This window comes from Homo sapiens, chromosome 6 (genome assembly GCF_000001405.40).
Source record: "Homo sapiens chromosome 6, GRCh38.p14 Primary Assembly".
Lineage (NCBI taxonomy): Eukaryota > Metazoa > Chordata > Mammalia > Primates > Hominidae > Homo > Homo sapiens.
Genome location: NC_000006.12, coordinates 51829658 through 51853112, shown reverse-complemented (window position 1 = coordinate 51853112; position 23455 = coordinate 51829658). Strand labels below are relative to the sequence as shown.

Genomic DNA, 23455 nt, shown 5'->3' with positions numbered 1-23455 from the left:
TTCGTTACCACCAGACCTGCCCTGCAAGAGCTGAAAGAAGCACTAAATATGGAAAGGAAAAACCGGTACCAGCCACTATAAAAACACACCAAAATATAAAGACCAATGACACTACAAAGAAACTGCATTGACTAGTGTGCAAAATAACTAAATTATATCAAGATGACAGGATCAAATTCACACATAACAATACTAACCTTAAATGTAAATGGGCTAAATGCCCCAATTAAAAGACACAGATTGGCAAATTGGATAAGGAGTCAGGCACCCATCAGTGTGCTGTATTCAGGAGACCCATCTTATGTGCAAAGACACACACAGGCTCAAAATAAAGGGATGGAGGAAAACTTACCAAGCAAATGGAAAGAAAAAAAAAAAAACAGGGTTTGCAATCCTAGTCTCTGATAAAACAAACTTTAAACCAACAATGATCAAAAAAGACAAAGAAGGGTATTACATAATGGTAAAGGGAACAATGCAACAAGAAAAGAAACGCTAACTATCTAAATATACATGCCCCCAATACAGGAGCACCCAGATTGATAAAACAAGTTCTTAGAGACCTACAAAGAGACTTAGACTCCCACACAATAATAGTGGGAGACTTTAATACCCCACTGTCAGTATTAGACAGATCAATGAGACAGAAAATTAACAAGGATATGCAGGACTTGAACTCAGCTCTGGATCGAGTGGACCTAGTAGACGTCTGCAGAACTCTCTATCCCAAATCAACAGAATATACATTCTTCTCAGAGCCACATGGCACTTAATCTAAAATCGACCACATAATTGGAAGTAAAACACTCCTCAGCAAATGCAAAATAACTGAAATAATAACAAACAGTCTCTCAGACCACAGTACAATCAAATTATAACTCAGGATTAAGAAACTCACTCAAAACCACAAAATTTCATGGAAATTGAACAATCTGCTCCTGAATGACTCCTGGGTAAATAATGAAATTAAGACAGAAAGAAGTTCTTTGAAACCAATCAGAACAAAGAGAAAATGTATCAGAATCTCTGGGACACAGCTAAAGTAGTGTTAAGAGGGAAATTTATAGCACTAAATGCCCACATCAGAAAGCTAGAAAGATCTCAAATCGATACCCTAACATCACAATTAAAAGAGCTAGAGAGTCAAGAGCAAACAAATCCAAAAGCCAGCAGAAGACAAGAAATAACTAAGATCGGAGAAGAATTGAAGGAGTTATAGACACAAAAAACCCTCCAAAAAAATCAACGAATCCAGGAGCTGGTTTTTTGAAAAAATTAACAAAATAGATAGACCGCTAGCTAGATTAACAAAGAAGAGAAAAGAGTCAAATAGAAACAATAAAAAATGATAAAAGGGATATCACCACTGACCCCACAGAAATACAAACTACCATCAGAGAATACTATAAACATGTCTATGCAAATAAACTAGAAAATCTAGGAGAAATGGATAAATTCCTGGATGCATACACCCTACCAAGACTAATCCAGGAAGAAGCTGAATCCCTAAATAGACCAATAACAAGCCTTGAAATTGAGGCAGTAATTAATAGCCTAATTAATAGCCTACAACCAAAAAAAGCCCAGGACTAGATGGATTCACAGCTGAATTCTACCAGAGGTACAAAGAGGAACTGGTACCATTCCTTCTGAAACTATTCCAAACAATTGAAAAGGAGGGACTCCTCCTTAACTCATTTTATGAAGCCAGCATCATTCTGATACCAAAACTGGGAAGAGACACAATGAAAAAAGAAAATTTCAGGCCAATATCCCTGATGAACATCAATGTGAAAATCCTCAATAAAATACTGGCAAACCAAATCCAGCAACACATCAAAAAACTTATCCACCATTATCAAGTCGGCTTCATCCCTGGGATGCAAGGCTGGTTCAACATACACAAATCAATAAACATAATCCGTCACATAAACAGAACCAAAGACAAAAACCACTTGATTTTTTTCAATAGATGCAGAAAGGGCCTTTGATAAAATTCAACATCCCTTCATGTTAAAAGCTCTCAGTAAGCTAGGTATTGATGGAACATATCTCAAAATAATAACAGCTATTTATGACCAACCCACAACAAATGTCATATTGAATGGGCCAAAGCTAGAAGCATTCCCTTTGAAAACCAGCACAAGACAAGGATGCCCTGTCTCACCAGTCTTATTCAACATAGTATTGGAAGTTCTGGCCGGGTAATCAGGCAAGAGAAAGAAATAAAGGGCATTGAAATAGGAAGAGAGGAAGTCAAGTTGTCTCTCTTTGCAGATGACATGATTTTATACTTAGAAAACCCCATCATCTCAGTCAAAAAATTTCTTGAACTGATAAGCAACTTCAGCTTCAAAGTCTCAGGATACAAAATGAATGTTCAAAAATCACAAGCATTCCTTTACACCAACAATAGGCAAGCAGAGAGCCAAATCATGAATGAACTCCTATTCACAATTGCTACAAAGAGAATAAAATACCTACGTATACAGCTAACAAGCAGTGCGAAGGACCTCTTCAAGGAGAACTACAAACCACTGCTCAAGGAAATAAGAGAGGACACAAACAAATGGAAAGACATTCCACGCTCATGGATAGGAAGAATCAATGTCGTGAAAATGGCTATACTGCCCAAAGTAATTTATAGATTCAATGCTATTCCCATCAAACTACCACTGACATTCTTCACAGAATTAGAAAAAAACATTTTAAATTTCACATGGAATCGAAGAAGACCCTGTATAGCCAAGACAATCCTAAGCAAAAGAACAAAGCTGGAGGCATCACACTACCTGACTTCAAAGTATACTGCAAGTCTACAGTAACCAAAACAGCATGGTACTGGTACCAAAACAGACATATAGACCGATGGAGCAGAACAGAGACTTCAGAAATAACACCACACATTTACAACCATCAGATCGTTGACAAACCTCATAAAAACAAGCAATGGGGAAAGGATCTCTTATTCAGTAAATGGTGCTGGGAAAACTGGGTAGCCATATGCAGAAAACTGAAACTGAACCTCTTCCTTACACGTTATACAAAAATTAACTCAAGATGGATTAAAGACTTACATGAAAAACTCAAAACCATAAAAACCCTAGAAGAAAACCTAGGCAATACCATCCAGGACATAGGCATAGGCAAAGACTTCATGACGAAAATGCCAAAAGCAATTGCAACAAAAGCAAAAATTGACAAATGGGATCTAATTAAACTAAAGAGCTTCTGCACAGCAAAAGAAACTATCATCAGAGTGAACAAGCAACCTACAGAATGGGAGAATATTTCTGCAATCTACCCATCTGACAGAAGTCTAATATCCAGAATTTACAAGGAACTTAAACATATTTACAAGAAAAAGACAAACAACCCCATCAAAAAGTGGGCAAAGGATATGAACAGACATTTCTCAAAAGAAGACATTTACGCGGCCAACAAACATGAAAAAAAGCTCAACATCATTGATCATCAGAGAAATGCACATCAAAACCGCTATGAGATACCATCTCATGCCAGTCAGAATGGCAATTATTAAAAAGTCAGGAAACAATGAAAGCTGGTGAGGCTGTGGAGAAACAGGAACGCTTTTACACTGTTGGTGGGAATGTAAATTAGTTCAACCATTGTGGAAGACAGTATGGCAATTCCTCAAGGACCTAGAACCAGAAATACCATTTGACCCAGCAATCCCATTGCAGGGTATGTACCCAAAGGATTATAAATTATTCTACTGTAAAGACACATGCACATGTATGTTTATTGCCACACTATTTACAATAGCAAAGACATGGAAAATGCCCATCAATGATAGACTGGATAAAGAAAATGTGGTACATACACATCATGGAATACTATGCAGCCATAAAAAGGAATGAGATCATGTCCTTTTCAGGGACATGGATGAAGCTAGAAGCCATCATCGTTAGCAAACTAACACAGGAATAGAAAACCAAACACTGCATGTTCTCACTCATAAGTGGGAGTTGAACATTGAGAACACATGGACATGGAGAGGGGAACAACACTCACCAGGGCCTGTTTGGGGGTAGGAGGTGAGGGGAGGGAACTTAGAGGATGGGTCAATAGGTGCAGCAAACCACCATGGCACACGTATACCTGTGTAACAAACCTGCACGTTCTGCACCTGTATCCTGTTTTTTTTTTTTTCAGAAGAAATAAAAAAAAAAACTAAAAAAAAAAAAATGGCCATGAGGAAAGTGGGTACATTTTTCCATATTTTTAAACAGCAATCCAGTGGAATTCCCTAAGCTTATTTTCATACTTTTAACACATATATTTCTTCCTATCTTATCATACACATTCTTGCTAACAGTCCTGAGAGCCTATCTTAGGGAGACAGAAGCCCTGCCATGGTCATGAGGAATTCAGAACAGAATCACTTTTGATCTTCTCTCCATGGCTTTCAGAAAGGATGTACGCCTCTCTTTTCTTGCCTTGAGATTCCCGTGAGAGCACTCTGGAGAATTTTCATGCAGTGAAAACAGTAGGGTGTGCCTCTGGAGGTGGATACCCTAGGTTTATGTCCTGACACTGCACTCTTCTGCTTTGTGATATGGGGCAAGCTACTGAACCTCTGCCTGCCTCAGTTTCCTCAATGTAAAAATGGGACAGTAAGAGTAACAATGACAGGGGTGCCTTTCGAGGACTGAATAGTGCTGATTGCATAGTAAATGCTCCCACAATGTTAGCTATTACTGTGATAAATGGATGACATGCCTATCATTGCCTGTCGCTTCAAGTCGTGGGAAAAGCTGGAAAGGAATTCTAGACCTGGCCTTGTCTCTTCTAGCTGTTTGACCTGAGACGTGTCAATTCATATGTCTGGGCCTTGGCTTTCTCCTCTGGTAATTGAGATTGTTAAACGAGATGAACCTTATGGCATCTTTCAGTCTTCATAGTCTGATTTTGTAGCTCTAGTTATGAATTTTTTATGAAGTAGATTTAAGTATTCCCATTTCCCACAAGAAAAGTACAATCTGGGTCTAAATTGTATGATTTCTAAACTACTCCATCTGCGTTCTCTGTAGTTGTTTTGGCAGGGTGGTGTGGTGGAGTAGGTGGAATGATGGGGTTCCTTACTAAATGAGCACTATTGTGTTTTTCTTTCACTTCAAGTACTCAGCAACCTTTGACAACTTTGCTCCTGGTAATTACCTACTGCTGGTGCACACAGATTTGCCGCCTTACCCTGACATCCTCCTAAGATGTGGGAGTCGAGTGGGTCTGTCTTTTCCATTTCTTCCATCACCAGGTCAGAACCAAGGCTGTGACTGGTTCTTCAATAGCCAGCTGAGGCAACTCACCTATCTGGGTAAGTATCCAATTGGATGAATGTTTTGAGAGCACATAGTCAGAAATCACCAATCACCCTTCAATTCCAGACATTTGTGCTGTGAAGTGCTGAGGAACTGAAAGGGACAGCTGTGTGTTATGGTTGAGTGAATGTTCCCTGAAGTCTGATTGCCTGGGTTTAAATCCCAGCTCCAACACTCACCAGCTAGCATACACAGAGCCTCTCTAAGGCTCAGCCTCCTCCTCTATAGAGAAGTATGACCATAGGGCCTACCTCAAAGGATAGGAAATTAAATAAAGAATAACATGTAAAACTCTTGAGCAGAAGGCCTAGCCCACAAAAAATGCTTACTAGACATTGGTAGTTAGTACTAATAATATCTTTAATTCATCTTAGGGCAGTGTCATATTTGTTTGTAGTGGAACAACTGCACATGTAAAGATGGATGGCTGTGCTTTAGTCTAGGAGTTTGAGACCAGCCAGGGCAGCAAAGTGAGACCCCATCTCTCCAAAAAAAAAAAAAAAAAAAAAATGCTGGGCATGGTGGCATGTGCCTGTGGTCCCAGCTACTTGGAAGGCTAAGGTGGGAGGATCAGTTGAGGCCAGGAGTTTGATATCAGCCTAGACAACAGAGTGAGACCTAATCTCTACAAAAAATTAAATAAATTAGCTGGGTGTGGTGGCGCATGCCTGTAGTCTCAGTTACTTGGGAGGCTGAGGTGGGAGGATAGCTTGAGCCCAGGAAGTTGAGCCTGCAGTGAGCCATGAGCATGCCACTGCACTTCAACCTGGGCAAGAGATTGAGACCCCATCTCAAAAATAAAAAAAAGAAAGAGAAAAAAATGGATGGCTGATTATGACCATTGGTATGAGGAACAGTAGAGAGTCCAAGGTAGAGAGTACCAATGCAGAGAGAGGCTGAATTAAGACGGAAGTTTATGTAGAAGGTGAGAAGGAAAACTTCTGATGAGAATCTGAGGTCAGGAAGATGAGTAGCATGGAGGGCTGATATGAGCACTAGGGGTGGGCTGTGTCTGTTTTACGTCAAGATTAACATGAGGTTGAAGTAATCAGGAACCCTACTGTGACTGCAGAGTCACAGAGGCCAAAGGTTTTTCCTTATCTTCTTACTGTGCATGTTTCTCAGGATACCAGTGTGTCAGGACCATCCACTTCTTTTGATTTCCTGGAGTTTATTTCATATTCCTTTTCTATACCATGTCAGCATTGGTCTCTCTGAGCACCATGGTACCTGCTTGTTCCAATCGCAGCTCACTGTGAGGCCACTTCTTACAGTAAAAAGGAGAATCTGGCTAAATAGGTCTCAAGAGTGACAATTTTGTTATAAATTGCTCTTAGTAGATCCTGGTCAAATCCAGGGGATCTTATTAGCATAACAAGTTCTAGCCCCTGCCACAAGCCCAAGGTGGCCATGGATTTAGAGGGCGAGGCAATGGTCCTGAGTCCACCCTTTGCCTCTTTCACTTGTGCCTAACCATAAGTCCAGTGAGTCGGACCTACAGGCTAGCCCCAGAACTGTTAAATTTTAATAGCATCAGAGAGAGAGTCTGGTGCTCCCTTGGTCTTTTTTTATGTCTTTGCCAAAAGGATTGTCGTATATTTTATTTGCACTGAATTATACCATTCAAATTTTATTTCTGATTTGATCCATTCATAAATGTAACCTAAAACTATAAAAACTTGAGACGGACAGAGATTCCTGAGATTGTTTTACCACTTCAGCCGAATACAGCCATAAATAAGAGTAAATAGTTACCATTAACTTTATGGCTATTCACTTGATATGTATTCTGGAACAAAATTTTAATCTGAATTGCTCTCTTTCCATTACTTAGCCTGCTTCTGAAGAGGCTGTCTTGTCCATAGGTCATATTCTGTTCATGAACTGCAAAATAATCTGAATACTCAAATAAACTAAACGTAATAAAAACCATTTATGGTACAAAGAAAAAAAATTAAATCATGCAGCTATAGATTTTCTTCCCTTATGATAGCATTATTAATTGAATTAATAGCAAGTTATACTATTATATATACACATATGGTATAAATGCACATCTGTGTAAGTAGCTGTGTGAATGTGCATGTGTGCTTATATGTAGAGGTACATCTGTATCTGTGCATATGTATGATATAAATGAATGTCTTAGTATAAAACACTTCTATTAGGTAGATAGCCTTTATTAATTTTTAAAAATTATTTGTATTGGAATACCCTAGTATCTCCTCCTTTGAATATGAGTTGGAAAAGGAATAAGAAGTCACAGAGGATTTGTTGAATGTTTAACAAACTTGGAGACTCTTGCTTCTTGAAGGGATTCCCCGTAGGATCTTTTATGGTCATTGGTGCCTCCTTTATCCTCTGAGTGTATGGAGTGGATAGCTGGCTAGAGCCACTTCTGTTCTCATTTCTGGGCTGTCACAGTGATGGTATGAGGACTCAGCAGGAACTGAGGCTCACCCTGCTCCTCCATGGCAGTGCGCCATGTAGCTATACTGGGTTGTGTAAATTTAGCTGTAATTTTGGATATCATCTGTGTAAAGTTTATAAGATCTTTAGCAAGGTGGTGATTAGGCTTCCACGTTTTCCATATACCTGACTGCATTTCCCAATGCCATAATGGTAGTTGCTGTTGTTGGTACCCGAGCAAGAGCCCAAGAAGTAGAGTTCCAGTTCTGTGCCATGCATTTTATATATTGATTAGATTGTAACTTTCACTTAACTGTTTTTTTCAGACCACTTGACTTTATAGGACCATGACTGGGATAATTTACATAAAATACATTTAATCTATGCAGATGGTGTAAGTCAAGACCACATAGTCTATGTGGACATATTCCTGGGATGAAAAACATGGGAAATGTGTGTATACAGAAATTTATTTTATTGTAGGGAAGCTGCTTGATCTCTATCATGGCCACGGAATTCCATATTAGATTTTTTTGGGGGTGTGGCTCCTTTTCTTGGCTGGCATTTCCTTCAGAGTGCTGCTTCACTGACAACTGGCTGAATTTTCATTCACTGGTTGACCACTTCTAAGTGGGCCATCTTTTGTATTGTTTTACCACTTCCCCCAGGATAGGAAGTTTTAGAAAAATCACAATTATCTTCATTTCCTCTGTTTGGCTGCTGCATGTGTGATTTAAGATACCTGACTCATCTTCAACCCAGCTGAGTGGAAAAAACCTGAACCCAGGCATTCTAGCTCCTGGCTGTGGCTCTCTCCACTAGAGTGTGCTGCCCACTAAATAATTGTGGATCACTGACCAGAAAGGATGGCGGGGGTGCTAGGCAGGGTTGTGGGAGAACCCTTCTCAAGGATTCCCAGTGACAAAGAAAAAAATCATACGCATACAATATGTTTTGACCCTTGCATTTTTCTTTTCTACCAAGGCAAGTTTTGCCTTTGCTCAGCAAACATCTTCACGGAGTGCAGTTTTTTTGGAAAGCTCATGGCCAGTGCTTGGGGCTTAGGGTTTTAATCAGTGGCTGGCTGGTTATTTTACCTGGGGCATTGCATTATAATTGCTCCATGCCTCAGTGGCTTTGTTTACACAGCAAGGTTAAGAAAATACTTACTTGTCTCTTGGAATTGTGGCACAAAACATCCAAATATATTCAAGTGTGGTTAATGTGCCATGTTATTTCACCAACGTTTTCCTGATAGACTATTTCTCTAGAAGTTTTCTTTCTTTTTAGAAGATTAACAATACCATGTGTCATGAGCTCAGTGTATATGTTATAACCTTTCTGAAAGGGTCTCCCTCTATTTTCTTTTACTAGATTTTTGTGAGATAAATGGGATTCACCATAATATGACATATATGATATATTGTTCCCGTGATTGAAATGTGATGCCACTTAAGCAATTGTTAGCCACAGAATAAGATAACCTCACTCATTTAAAAAGATCTGTTAGGGAGATTGGTTCATGTTGCCTTTCTAAAGCTGCTGAGAATTTTGCCCAAGGAGCTACTTATGAAACAGACCACAAGTGAAGAACCTTGTGTGCACTATTGTTTGTGTTAGGATGCTGCAGGAGCAATATTTGATGTGATAAACAATTATGAATACGATGAACTATTATCGTGTATCCCAACTGTAGCTTCTATGCCGTGCTTGGGAATGGGTATGACTGTAGAACAAGTGTTCTTTTATATTTGCAAAGTTGGGAGAAAAATCCAGCAAGCCCATTTTTCCCTTCATGCGATTTGATGCCCTGACTGCTCATGTCTTTGCCTTACAGAGCCAGTTTCCCACTGCCTCTTTCCCTGCTGTTTTTTTCCAAGGATGTTTCAGTTCATGGTGAACTATTTTTATTTTTTAGTTACATTAACGCTATGAAATAATTAGTCAGCTAATTAATCTGGTTTACAAGCTTTGTAGGATTCTTCAGCTGTCAGTCAGGCCCAGGCCTGAGGCCTACATCGAGTCTCAGCTCTCTTGCCCATGTGATTCCTGTTGCCATGGCTACTGGCTACATCTGCTGACACCCCACTCTCTATTTATTGCTTAATTAAGAATTTCACGCTCAGCCTTTATCTGCCTCTAAGAACAAGCGCACACTGTTAAGAAATTCCAAATTTAGGCCCAGGCACAAGGAAAGCCTTTCTTATGGGCTTGGCTGTATGGAGCCTCTCTAACGATCCTCTCGGCATCCCAGCCGCCACCCTTCAATCAAAAATCATTAAATGGGGCAGAGATAATGAGCATGTAGCATATCAAAAGAAGGATGTTTGCTTGGTCCAAAGGAGGAAAAGCTGCTTGGCCCCACGCTCAGCTCCACTTCAAAGGGAGATGAGACCTCTCAACACTGGGGCCTGATAATGCCTCATTTGTTCTTGGCTTGACTTATGCAAAAGGTCTGGTATGTCAGAGTCCAGTCTCACAGACGTGGGTTTCCCCCACCTCTTGCCTCCACCTCCACCAGCCCCCTCCCTGGCCTTCTGCACACTCCTGTGTCAGCACTTAGGCAGCTGGGTCCCCCAAAGCATCAGAGGGAGCGTATAATCACTGACTTTCCACTCACAATGGCCACTTGTAGGGGGGTGGCCAGGAGGAGGTCTTCATCACAATAGGAACACAATTATTGCAGCTGCTAGGGAGGGCTATGCTTCTTCCTGTAGAAATAGAATAGGACTTGCCCAAAACAGGAGGAGAAGATTGGAGGGAGGCGGGGGGAGGTTGAGAAGGGTGGAGAAAACAATCTTGAGTTGATTATTCATAATCTGACTCTTGGAAGCCCGATGCAGAGTCAGTGGGGTTCCAGCAGCTGCTCGCACACAGCCTTCTTCTAATAATTGTACATTCTGTCAGGGGTCAACTTACTTTTGACCCTGTCCTTTTATATTGGTAAAAGGCTCTTTAGGGCAAACTGTTGGGTTGTGGCAGGGTGCATTAAACACAGCCCCTTCCCCTAGCTTGATCCCCCTCCCGACCAGCAGCCGGTGATAAATTCATATCAGATGCTGTGCCATTCACAGTTGCCCTCCCGAGTTCACACAGCCCCCACTCATGGAGCAGAGATGCAGCCGAGCTGGGACATTGTGTGAGGCGGCAGCTGAGAAGGTCTGCCTGTAAGGCTGAGGCTCCTGCTGCACCACCACCTTCTGATCTGACTGAGAAAAAAAGGACATGTCTAGCCAGGCTGGCCAACACTTGTGTCCAAATGTCCGCCTCACCACGAATAAAGGGCAAGAGGGCTGTGCATGGAAAGGCAGATGGACTTTATTGTGTGTGCCAAGTTGCCTAGAAGAACTCAGGTCTGTCTCATCACAAAGATGGGTCAGAAAAGATGCTGTTAATTTGGGAGAGCCTAAAAAATCAGGAGTGCTTTCCTGGGTTGGAGCCTAGGCTCCTGATCCTGTCTACCACTGCCCAGGTTTCCTTTCCTCAATGCAACAAGGGCCCTGGAGCCAAGCAGGCTGCTTGCATAAATCTTCTCTTCTTCAGCTGGCCTAGAAGACTGCCTGCAAATCCTGGAAAATAATTCCTTTAGGATCTAAGGAGGAGAGTGGCGTCAGCTGGCTCCTGTGACCTCTTGGGGAAGATTTTGTAGGCAGAGCGGAATCAGAATCTTTTTGCAACTCTGCAGCCATTCCCATGCTGAGCCCCTCTAAGGCAATCCACAGCATTCTAGTTAATAAATTAATTTACATTCTTATGAAAAACTCATTCCCAAAGATCCCCAAGGATTTTTACCAGTATGTAGAGAATTGACTTCAGGGAACTGCACTAACCTTTATGGCAAAAATATAGATAACAGAACAGAGGCTGGGGATGTGAAAAGGGATTTTGCCTCTTGGTTGGAAACAACTCCAAAAGGAAAAGGCAGGAAGAGAAGGAGAAAAGGAAGGAAAGGAGAGGAGAGGAGAGAAGAGGAGAGGAGGAGAAAGGAAAGGGAAGGAAACTTAGAATCAAATACATCTTTTAGGAATCACTCAGGTTAAGGAGTTAATGCTCCGCAATGCTGAGTTGCTAGCCTTAATTCACACAGGTCATAGGTGGTGCAACCAGTATTCAAATAGCTTTTCTGACTCTAGGTTCAGTGCTTTTTCTAGTATACCATCTTTTCTTTTTTTAAATCTGAGCTTATATACCTAACCTTTTAAACCAACTCTTCTTCTTTCAATTTATAAGAAAAAACAATACTTAGTTAACACTGTGCTTCCTGAACTTTAGATATTTTAGTACCATTTTCATAATTGTGTCATATCCTTATACCTCTTGTCTGATTATTTACTTAATATTTTTCTTAAATCAATTTCTACACTGTCTTATTTTTAAAACCTAACTTTTCTTAATAATATCCATGAAATCATGGGTTTAATGGGTTAGTTGTTTTTTTCTAAAATACTTTACAATGTATAGATACTAAAATGAAACTTTTTATGCCTCTAAAGTAACCATTGTGCATTTAACATCTTGGGAATATGATTTGGTCTGTAAGGGTTTGGTATAATTGATAAAAAGTACGAATTGTGAAGTAAGGATCTTTTCCATCTGGGTCTCGCTCTTTACTTGGTAAGAACACCTGCTCCTGAGAACAAACAATATTTTAAGAGTGTAGTATGAGAAAATTTGTTTAGTTCCTTACATTTGTGTTTTTTTGCCTCCTGTGTAAACAGCTGAAATGCTTATTCCCAGGACCCTCCTGAGAGATTCAGGCTGTGTAGGTCTGTGGCAGGGTCTGGGAAATCACAAATACCTCCACAGAAGTATGAAAAACATTGCTCTGAGTCAGAATAACAATTGTTATTCTTCTCTGAGTTAATTAAGAAGGTTTAATTGAGCTAACTTTCAGGATTGTGGCTAATGCAGATATATGTGTTGGTGTCTTGATCAAGTTCTTTTCCTTTTGTCCCCCCCAAAATTCACTGTTTCATAAGTGAATGATACAGGGATAATAGAAGACTCAAAGGTAATCACAGGATTTTCATATACTATTTCTGTGAACGCCTTTAAAGGATCATGTTTTATGAGGGCCAAGATGCCTTCCGTGGCTGCCTCTGAGGCTGGAATCAGACAGGAGTGTGGTCCTGTAAATCAAGCTTTAGCTGCCAAGGACTAACTGACAAGCAAGCCTTCTCTGTGGCTAAGCCAAAGAGGTCAGCTTCTGAGGAATGAGGTCAAATTCACTGAGCAGGACAGGAGGAATAGAAGGAGTGTACAGATTTGTGAGTCAGGACAGGGAAAAGATGTGGAGGCAACAGAGGAGGTAACAGAGAGGTTGTGGAGGTAAGAGGTAAAAATGCAGAGAGAGCCAACAGCCAGCACAAGAAGACAGAGCTGGGGCTTGGGTCCAGGGCAGGCAGAGACGGAAAGAGAAGTCATGAGTCAGGGTGGGACTGCATGACATTTGCAGACACTGATTGCAGTTGCTGTTTTATGTTCTTTCACTGTTTAGTCAGTGGCTGACACACTAGATAAATGTGGCCTGAGTGAGAGGTCCTAATATGTGCATAAACTAAAACGACAAAGTGAGAATGAGAATATGAATGAAAGAGTGAAATAGGGAAGGAGTCTATAACCTACTAAGATTCCATGTGTTTTTTATTTTTAAATAAATGGGTGCTTATTTCTCCCTCTAAAATTTCAAGAGAGAATTAGACCTGGTTAGGGAGAGAATTAATTAATTTTTCTGTTTCCTAGAGCCTTAAGTGAGGATAGAGTTCTTCAGACACAACACATTAACCTGGTAGGACCTCGTATCACATCTACTTTAGTAACTCTCTTTTCTCTTACCAGGAGCCATTTTCTTAGCACATTTCCTCTTCACCCTAGATGTCTGTGTTTATAGCAAGTTTAGATCACATAGCACTCGTCAGAAAAAGTTGGCAATAATTGGCCCAAAGACTTTTTTTTTGTCTTTTTGAGCATCAGATCTTCTTACAATCTGGGAAGGATCAACTACAATGGGGCTCCATTTATAAACACGGAAGATTAACCATTCTCATATTACAAATACAAAATCAGAAATCATAAGCACTGAGAAAACATATGTACAATATCACAGCTTGTGTAAGGCTTTTAAACTCTTCCCAAGTCAATACCTTCATTCTCAAATGATTTTCATCCCTCTTTGTATTTATTCAAATTGGAAATGACACTTCACATTTACAGTTCTTTGTAGAGTCAACACACTTAACAAACTTTAGCAGATCTGGTTAAGTTGCTTACAACTCTGTAATACTACAGCTCATCATGATTAGATACAGCTGTAAAAAGAGTAGAAAGTAAAAGCATGTTTCTTGAACCTTGTTGACTGGCACCTGGAATCATGAACATGCCATAATGACAGTATTGATAATAGTTAACATTTATTGTTCATGATGTGCCAGGCACTGTGCTAAGCATGTTCCATGGACTATTCTATCTTTTCTTTCTAATAGCCATATGAGATAGATAGTATGATTATTCCCACTTTTAGATGAAATGAATAAGGTTTAGAAATGGCAAATAACTTGTCAGTGGCCCATGTCTAGGAACCAGAAGAGCCAGGATTCAGATTCAGGCTGTTGGGCTCCAGCACCCACATTCTTCCCACCATTCACTATTGTCATGACCATGACCAGGAAATGGTGTTTGGGAAGAGATAGCCCTCTGTCTCATACTCATCTGCCCCCAGATGCATGTAGATGGTGGTATAGGAAATCAGACTTCTAATTTTTCCTGCTTTTGTTAACTTTTCTGTATCTGTTCTGATCCTGAAACTACTTCTCTTCACTGACTGGCATTCACACACTCAACGTTAATGAAGTGAGCAACAGATTTTCAATATATTTTTTAGTTTTGCAATGTCTGTTTTGGTAGGGAGTTCTCCTGGAGGTAGGGACCATTTGTGCGTGTGTAGAGGTTTAAGAAAATCATTCACCACTCAGTCCAGAAGCCATTGGTGCAGTGTAGTGGAAAGAGCTACAGATACAAGATTAAACCTAGGATTTCTAAATTGGCCCATGAAAATGAAGTATCTACATTTCTAGCAATATCTGGTCTCATAAGGTGCATGAGAAAAATCTCTCTCTCAAAAATTTGAAGACAAAGCTAATTATTGATGAAATCTTAAATTATCAGTTGGTGCTTAATAAATATTTATTAAATTGAGAACAAGTTTGGGATGAATATCACAGGATGGATTTAGAAGTACTTTAGAACTTTAGAGAATGCACAAATCAACGTGAACAGAAGTGGATGAGTTAGACCTTATTTTAAAAAAAGGAAATGACACCTTGACTGGTGGCTTTATTATTAGTATTAAGTTAGAAAGATGCATGAAATAAGCAACAGGGTGAAGGAACAATTTAAGCAAAGTCTTGGAAGTGGTGATAAAGGTAGAACATGTCAAGAGCATGTTGTCATTGTACCAGGTCTCAACATGTGGCAGTGTAAGGAGAAAGACACAAACTCATGCTTTACATCCTTAGAAAAATTTTAAAAAGAGAAAATGACCAAAATAAGATTAGAGAAATTGAAGAGGTCTCATCATGGATCTCTTTGGGGATCATTTTCTTTGTAATATTCTGAGGCTTATATTTTATTTTTATTTTTCATTTTTTAGTTTTTTCAAGACAGAGTCTTGCTCTGTCACCCAGGCTGGAGTGCAGTGGCGTGATCTTGGCTCACTGCAACCTCCACACTGCAGGGTTCAAGCAATTCTCCTGCCTCAGCTTCCCTAGTAGCTGGGATTATAGGAGTGCACCAGTACGCATGGCTAGTTTTTGTGTTTTTAGTAGAGATGGGTTTTACCATGTTGGCCAGGCTGGTCTTGAACTCCTGACCTCAAGTGATCCACCCACCTCAGCCTCCCAAAGTGCTGGGATTACAGGCATGAGCCACAGCGCCTGGCTGCTTATGTTTTATATTTAGAAAGAATGATCCTGTGTTTATTTCATCTGATGGAGGAAAGGGTTTAGGGTTCCAGGAAAACAAAAGTGGAGAATGTGAATTTGGCCGAGTCCCCAAGGCTGCAGCCTTCAGCAACAAGGGGTGCTCCAGTGGTGGAAGGTGTGGCTCATGTGACAAACAATAAGGCAGAAAGGTAATTAACCAATAAGAGACAAGGTGTGACTGAAAAATGGAGTTTGTGCACCTGATTACTAATTAATCAGGCGTGAGAGCACCTTGTAGATGCATTCACTATTTAATTATAGCAGCCTCTCTTGGCAAAGGAGCATATGTTCCCAGCTTAATCTACTGGTTTATCCTGACATCAAATTGTCATTATCAGAAAGAATCAGGCCTTTTGATTATTTCCACTAATTTATTGAACGCTTAAAATTAATGAACCCCAGGCCTTTTAAATGTGCTCAGTTGGCTTGGATGATAGGAGGAGGATAGGGGGTGGGGAAAAGGCTTCATTAAAAGGACAATTTGTTTGGATAAAGGTAACCAAATACATTTCATGGATGATCTGAACTCTATTGGTGAAAAACACATGAATTCTAAAAGCTGAGCCTACAAAATGATGAAGAGAAAATAGGATATGAGGTATATGCCCTGCTGGACACCATTGGCTTCCTTAGAACATATGGCTAAAGGTTTCGTTTCTGTTTTTGTTTCTCCTAATTATTTATGTGCCAGTTCTCCTGGAGACCTCATTGCAATTACATTTAATCAAATGAAAGCAATCAAAATCAAATGTTGGAAATCAATTGTTAGATTAACTAACAAGGATTTCATTTTTCTGTTTTGAAAATTTAGGCAACTAGAATTTAGCATAAATTCTTCTTTTCTCACGTGTGACTGTCTTTAATATTAAGATGATCTTTGTATCACATGCAAGTTGTGGCTTTTGGTATTTAGTTTCAGGTGAAGGCCAAGTTCAAGTCATTCTCCGGGTGAAGGAAGGTATGCCCCCAACTATTTCAGGTGAGTATTAACACACGAAGTAGAAGTGTCTAGTATGGCAGAATGTCCTCCAGTAGTTCTACAAATTCCACCTTGTCATACTGTTAATAAACAGGCAGGTATCAGTCCTAAAGCTTATATGTCTGATAACTCTCTATTGTGTTGCCCTGTAACTAAAATATGTATCTGCATGTCAAAAAAGGATATAAAGGTGGATTTATTTTTCAAAGCAATGAAAGTAAGAATTGAAACATGTAAATAAGCACATTTCATAAATTATGGACCATATGTGCACATAGGACTCCAGATCTGCAGATGGGCTATTAGGCCCCCTCCAAATGGAAAGAAAAATTCAGGGTATCTCTAAACTTTAATTGTTCCTGGTAATTTCAGGAAATCAGGGTAAACAAACCCTCCTCAAAAGTCAGATGGTTCTATGAAATCTTTCTAACTCAAAAAGCCAAATTCTCAAAAACTAAATGTCTCCTAAGCACCTTCTGATGTATTTCATTGTTTGTTTTTGTTTATTCTGAGTCAATTTAACTATACATTTGCAAGAGGAATAAATCTTTTCAAACGCAGAGATTTCTTTTAATTTTCAGTGGCATTTTTGTGCTATGTCAGAGCAGAGCCCATGCTAATCAGAAAATGATCTAATTCCTCTGTTTAAATTAATAGGTAAATGAGGTAAGAGGACTGGACTAAAACTATAAATGATAATCCTGAAGGTTACTACTCCATGCTTATTGGACTATGAAGAATGTGATTCAAGATTGTTTTCAGAATGTTTTCTGAGCTGCCACCACACTTTGTTTTTTATGTTCCTTGTCCTTCATCTCTCTTTGCCTTTAGGTGGTTCAAAATGCCTTGTTTATTGAGTGCCTTTTATGCAAGGTGTGGGGGATACCATGATGAGCAAGATGGAATGAACTTTGACTTTATGGGGTCTTATGATCTCTTGGGGATGTCAGTCAAACTACTAAGTAATCAATTAATACAGTTGTTTAAAAATTACTGTTATAAGGAAAAGGATAGTTTTCTCTTCTTTGAAAGTTTCTATGTTCAAATTCTCCAAGGAGAGATTTGATTTGCTGTGTCAGTGCCTATTCTGTAGAGGACACACCTGTTGGGGAAGCTCTCATGCCAGGCCCCCTTCTGTGGATACTGGACCATCTATGAATGGCCATTCTTGGTTCAACCATCTGTAGTCAGGGTGGCATGTCACTCAGCATGTAGTATGATGATTTCTGTACTAAGGATTCTCTGGAAGGAACATTCAGAGCTTTTTAGAAGGGGTCAGTTTAACTGGAGATGCTTGCATTACAACTGTCAATTACAACTGCTGAGAAATAGAAAGCCCATACTTCATAGAGTTGTGGGTTTTAACAAAGGTGGAGACCTTGCAGGCTATCCTATCCAGTTGCCTCATTTTACAAATGGGGATGTGAAGCCCAGATATTAAACTTAGTCATATCAGTAGTCAGTCATATGAGCCTAGATAGGAACTCAGATGTCTCAACTCAGCCCAGTGTTCCTTGTGCTATACAATGTAGCCTCTAATGTGTTTAAATTGCCTTATTGAGCATAGATTAATTTATGAGTTATATTAAAATCTAGCCAGTTTTCCTACCTCATATAGTTGGGAACAGAAAACTATTTCAAAACACAAAGAGTTACAGATTTAGTACAATATCCTTCATCAGGAGGAAATTTTAAATAACATACTTTCAAGACATTGCCTGATTCTCATGTATGTAGTATCTGTGCTAGTGCCAAAATTTAAATATGGTAATGTATTTTGTTTAATGAGTAGCTCTACGTAAAACAGTAAAATTATTGCAATATCGTTTTTGCCAAAACTAAGAATGAATGAATGAATGAGTTAACACATCTATCTGTGTTAACTCATTCATTCCATTGTTTGAATGGGTCAATCCAATGTTTGAATGAGTTAACCATCTATCTATGTGTTAACCGATATGAGTATGTAATATGTACCCGTACTAAGTGCACATATTGTCCATGGTCATATAAGAACATCCAGATCATCGGGTATTCTTTTCCTAAATTTTCCCACAGACCTAAGTTTTTGTCGCTTTCTTTGATCTCTGAGAATCAGGCAGCCCTAGTCTTGTTCAAAGTTAACTCATCCCTTCCTGCATCTTCCACACTTTCCCCCATCAGCGAACAACTCATTGTCTCGTGTAGTTAACCTTTCTTTCCTTACTGGCTTCTTCTGTTCAGTGCCTCCCATTTAAAAACAAAACAAATTTGTGGATACTGAATTTTCCTTTAGCAGACAGCTGTCCTGCAAACTTCTCAAAAGCCTAGCCTCCTCTTCATGCAGAGCCATGAAAACCTGGGTTGATGAAGAGCAAAGGTGTGGAGGCCAACATTTGGCTCATGTATTAGACTTGAGACTACCTAAAATCTTAAGTGCTTGTTGAGGGACAAATTTGTACAGGGAAGCAAGGAGAGGCCTCATCAGGAGTGTTGGTCCAGACCAAAATTCATGGGCTCCAGTTTTGAAACTAGTCTAATTTATCTAAAGCTTCAGAAGACAGATCAAAGGCTGTGGTTCTCAACTCTTAAGACTGTCCATTCCTCAGTGAGCTTTTTGGATGGTCTGACCCAACATCTTTCCTTCCTTACCTCCAGTGCATTCCTCAATCCACTGTAATATGGTTTCTGTCTCAACCACTCAACTGGGACCACTGTCATCTGGATCACCCATGCCTTGATTGCTAAGTTTAACAGTGACTTCTAATTCTCTCTCTTACCAGAACTCTACTATTAACAAGGTCACTTGTGCTCTCTGGAGATGCTGTATTACTTAGGATTCCAAGACCTTCCTCTCTTCTGATTCTCCCAGTAGATCTCTGACTGCTGCTTCTTTAACTCTTGTAGGCTTCTTTTTCTCTCCACAAATTTGATTGTCAATAATAGTCATATAGAACCCTGATATTAGTTGTATAGAAATCTGATAACTCTGACAGGAGACTGAAACATGTTTTCTTATCCCTTAGTGTTCTTATCTTAAGCAGGATGGTATAGAATAATTAAATTTGTACATAATAACATTCCTTCATTAGAATAGCTACCTTAAGGCCTAATTTGTCCAACTAAAGACTGTGTCAGCCCTCTTATAAGCAAGAGTAAAGGTGAAAAAAGTACAGAATGTTTGTTTCCATCATCTGTGATATAAAATTGGAGTAACTAAAGATTCCTGAAGCTTGGCGTGAGGTTTTAGAGAACAATCATTGCTTGTTTGAAATATCACTGGAAATGAGGCATCAGAGACATTTTATCTGGACTTTGTGGGGCAAGCTAGGGGTCACCCTGACAAATACCCCTTACTCTACCCCCAGCTGAGTATTTTGGGTCTAATGTTGGGAAGCAGGCAACATTGGGAAAAAACTTAGAAAGGTATTACAGTATTGGAGTTTATGAAATATTTATAAAGCCTCTTACTGAGTGATGCTTATTCCAAGACATTGCCTTATTCCCAAGGTGTGTGGTATATTTTGTACTAATTAAGTTGCCTATGGTTTTTGCTTGACCACAATCTATATACTTTTAGGTTATCCTGGGTCTCTAATTAAACCATGACTACTGAGGAATTGGGTCTGGTAGAAAAAATAACTAAGTGTTCCTCATGTTTCTGATATCAGGTATTTTCCCTTGTCACCTTGAAATCCTCTGGAGCTATTACAACCACCCTCAGAGTTTCAAATACAGCTTCTAGGCCGATGATGCCAAATTCATCTCTGGGCTCAGAGCTCTTCCCATCTTTCCAATTCATATTTTTCCACTGCTTGCTGTATAGCTCCATCTGGAGACCACAGAGATACCCTGAATGCCCTATGGCACAAACTATTCATCCACTTCTGTCTTAATGTGCTGGAAGTCTCTGGACCCTCCACCTTTATTATCTTTCATACTCTGGCCTCTGTTTATTTTACCAACCTTGTCACTTACCTCTCTTCTAGCTCTGTGGTTCAGCAACACCAAATTTCTTATCATTCCTCCACTTGACTTCCCAATTTTTGCCTCGGCTCATGCTCATCCTTCTGTCTGCAGTGCAACCCTCTTGTCATACACTCATCACAACCTCCCCTTTACCTGAATAACTTCTAAGGCTTTAAAATGCAGCTGAGTTACTACTTCCCTCGGGAAGCTTCTCCTGGCAAAATCTTGCTTCCTTTCGTGATCAGGTACCATTAAAAAGAACTCCCCTCAGTGCCTGTGTAGAGTTTTTATCCTCCTAATACTGATATAACACTATCAGCTCCTTGGAGGCAAGGGTGACATGTTATTTCTTTTTGTATCCCTACTTTTTAAGGGCAGTTCTAATAGAGAAGGTGCTCACTATTTATGTTGTAAAATTAGCAAATCATGGACATGATTCCCTCCCTCCCCTCAAAAGAGGAGGCCTTTTCATTCTACCCTTTTGAGACAATCTCTCTTCCCTTCTAACTCTGTACCAGTAATCACATCCCAGGAAAGAACAAGTAGATATGGTTCAGCATGGTGTTGTGCGTGATGTGCTATTGGACAGTCCCCATTGGAAATTATTAGATTTACATTTCAATTATGCGATGAGATACTAGCAGAATGGTTGAAAAGAAAATGCCGTTTGACGATCAAAGGCAGAATCAATAGAAACTGGTTGGAAGGTATGATCTGTCTGTAAGTTACCACCCTGAGAAGTTTTTAGATTATTACCCCGCCTTTAATGTGTAGGGAGAGCTGTGGGAAGAACATCACCTTTGACTCAGTCATTCCATTGAGGAATGTATTTGAAGAAGATAATCAGGGTTATTGAGAAATTTGCATAGAGACAGTTAACACTGCATTATTTACAATTTAACAGAGAATAGAAAGAGTCTCAATGTCAGACATTAGGAATTAATTATGGATTTTTAAAATATGATATGTAGCCACTAAAATTATGTTTACAAGGCATTTAAATAATATTATAAAATGCATAGGAAAATAGGCTAAGCTAAGCAAAAGTAGAACTGGGTGTAAAAAATAAGAACAGGATTTGATATAATCTCAATTATGTAAAAATTCTGAGAAATTCTGGAAGGAAACAGAAATAAAAGGTAGTTATTGCAAGGTAGTGAGATTATGGGCAATTATTACCTTTCTTATTTGCATTTTTTAAATATTTCATGATAAGCATGCCATATTTATTATAAGGCAAAACAGATGTATAATAACAAAAGTGGGATTTTTTTCAGAAGTGAAGGTAATCTAAGGATTGAATAATTACTTGCTTTTTAACTGATAAATATTTGTACAGAAACTTATAAAATATTGATAGGCAGCTTCTTTGGGAGGTGAAAATACCACTAGCATCCTAAAATAAGGATAGAATTTGGAAGTTATCACAATGGATTAGATTTTCAAAATTTTTTTTTATTTTCTAGCTTCTACCTCTGCCCCTGAATCAGCTTTAAAATGGTCCCTCCCTGAAACATGGCAAGGTGTTGAAGAAGGCTGGGGAGGATACAACAATACCATTCCAGGCCCTGGGGATGACGTTCTCATTTTACCCAGTGAGTAAAACTACCCAAGAGATGAATCACAGACAGGCTGAACCCAGCCAGATCTGATTATGTTTCATTTATATTGTACAACACAGTAAAGAGTTTGGAAATAAGTAGGCACTTATGTTGTTTCATTCTTCCTCTTTTTGGGGGGGTTAATGTAGGAGAACAATTTCATAGACCAGTGAAATCCCCCCAAAATTAACCTAGCATATCTTCATTAAAAGTGGAATAAGTAATTGTCATGCTGAAAGGAGTTAAAATAATCCACTAACTGGTTAATTTTCTTCATGTGTCAGAGAATGGATTTACAGGTTCTAGTATCCTTAAGTTTGAAAGACACAGAGGGTATGGAAGACAACAATTTATTAATGCATTCTGATGGTTTGCCTTTGGGAATTTTGAAATACAGGACTGAGGAAAAATGACAAGCTCTTCGGTTGCTATGAGTTTTGAAAATTGCCGAGAAGTAGGTTAATAAAATAGAAAAATACCTATCTATGTATCTATTCATCTGTTTGTCTAGACCTATCTTCCAGTATACACGTTATAAAAAAGATGATTCCTTAGATATACAGAAACACACAGCCATACTTATAAAATCTTCTTATTTAAAGGAGAGTTTTCAAAAGTTCCAGAATATCTCCCTAGCCTGAGAAGAAAATGTTTTTCATAGGACAATTATATTTTCCCCCAAAGACCTAATTACATTTATGGTTTAATTTGAACCTCTTAAGATAATAGTGAATAAAAGAAGATCCATAATGGAAGAACATTTAACCATCTGTGAAGTAATAATAATGATAATGTCAAACATTTACTGAGAACTAACAATGTGCCGGGAACTGTTTTCCATGTACCAACTAATTTAATCCTCACAATAACCTTATGAAATAAGTAATATTATTATCCCCACTTTTACAGACAGAGAAACAGAGGCCCAGGACAATTAAGTCACTTGTTCAGGGTCCCACGGTTTGCAATTTGCAGAGTCAAAATTTGAACCCAAGCAGTCTTTCTTCCAGTCCTCATCTTGAACCAATAACGCACATTCCCTTTCTAAAATGACTACGAGTAAAATAAAGGAGGGTCACTGTATTGTTTGCTTTATTTGTGTGGCAGAATGAAGGAAGAATGAAAGAAGATATACTGGCCACCTTCTTATCATTGGTGGTGTGTTTGTGTAACTGTGCCCAGAGACACGAGGGACAG

General features: G+C 39.2%; 1 protein-coding gene across 23 annotated transcripts in view; it reads left to right on the top strand.

Moving 5' to 3' along the window:
* The window catches only part of PKHD1 (PKHD1 ciliary IPT domain containing fibrocystin/polyductin), a 472317-nt gene that overhangs the window by 234503 nt on the left and 214359 nt on the right, over positions 1 to 23455 (top strand). For 22 of the 23 annotated variants that reach the window (XR_001743469.2, XM_017010944.3, XM_017010945.3 and 19 more), the window contains 3 exons: positions 5143 to 5338; positions 16644 to 16709; positions 22124 to 22252. Coding sequence is in view for 22 of the 23 variants with exons in the window: in XM_017010944.3 (XP_016866433.1) it covers positions 5143 to 5338; positions 16644 to 16709; positions 22124 to 22252 (391 nt within the window). In the remaining variant the exon portion in view is untranslated. The remainder of the gene's footprint in view (positions 1 to 5142; positions 5339 to 16643; positions 16710 to 22123; positions 22253 to 23455) is intronic. The other variant, XM_017010946.3, reaches the window with a different exon arrangement.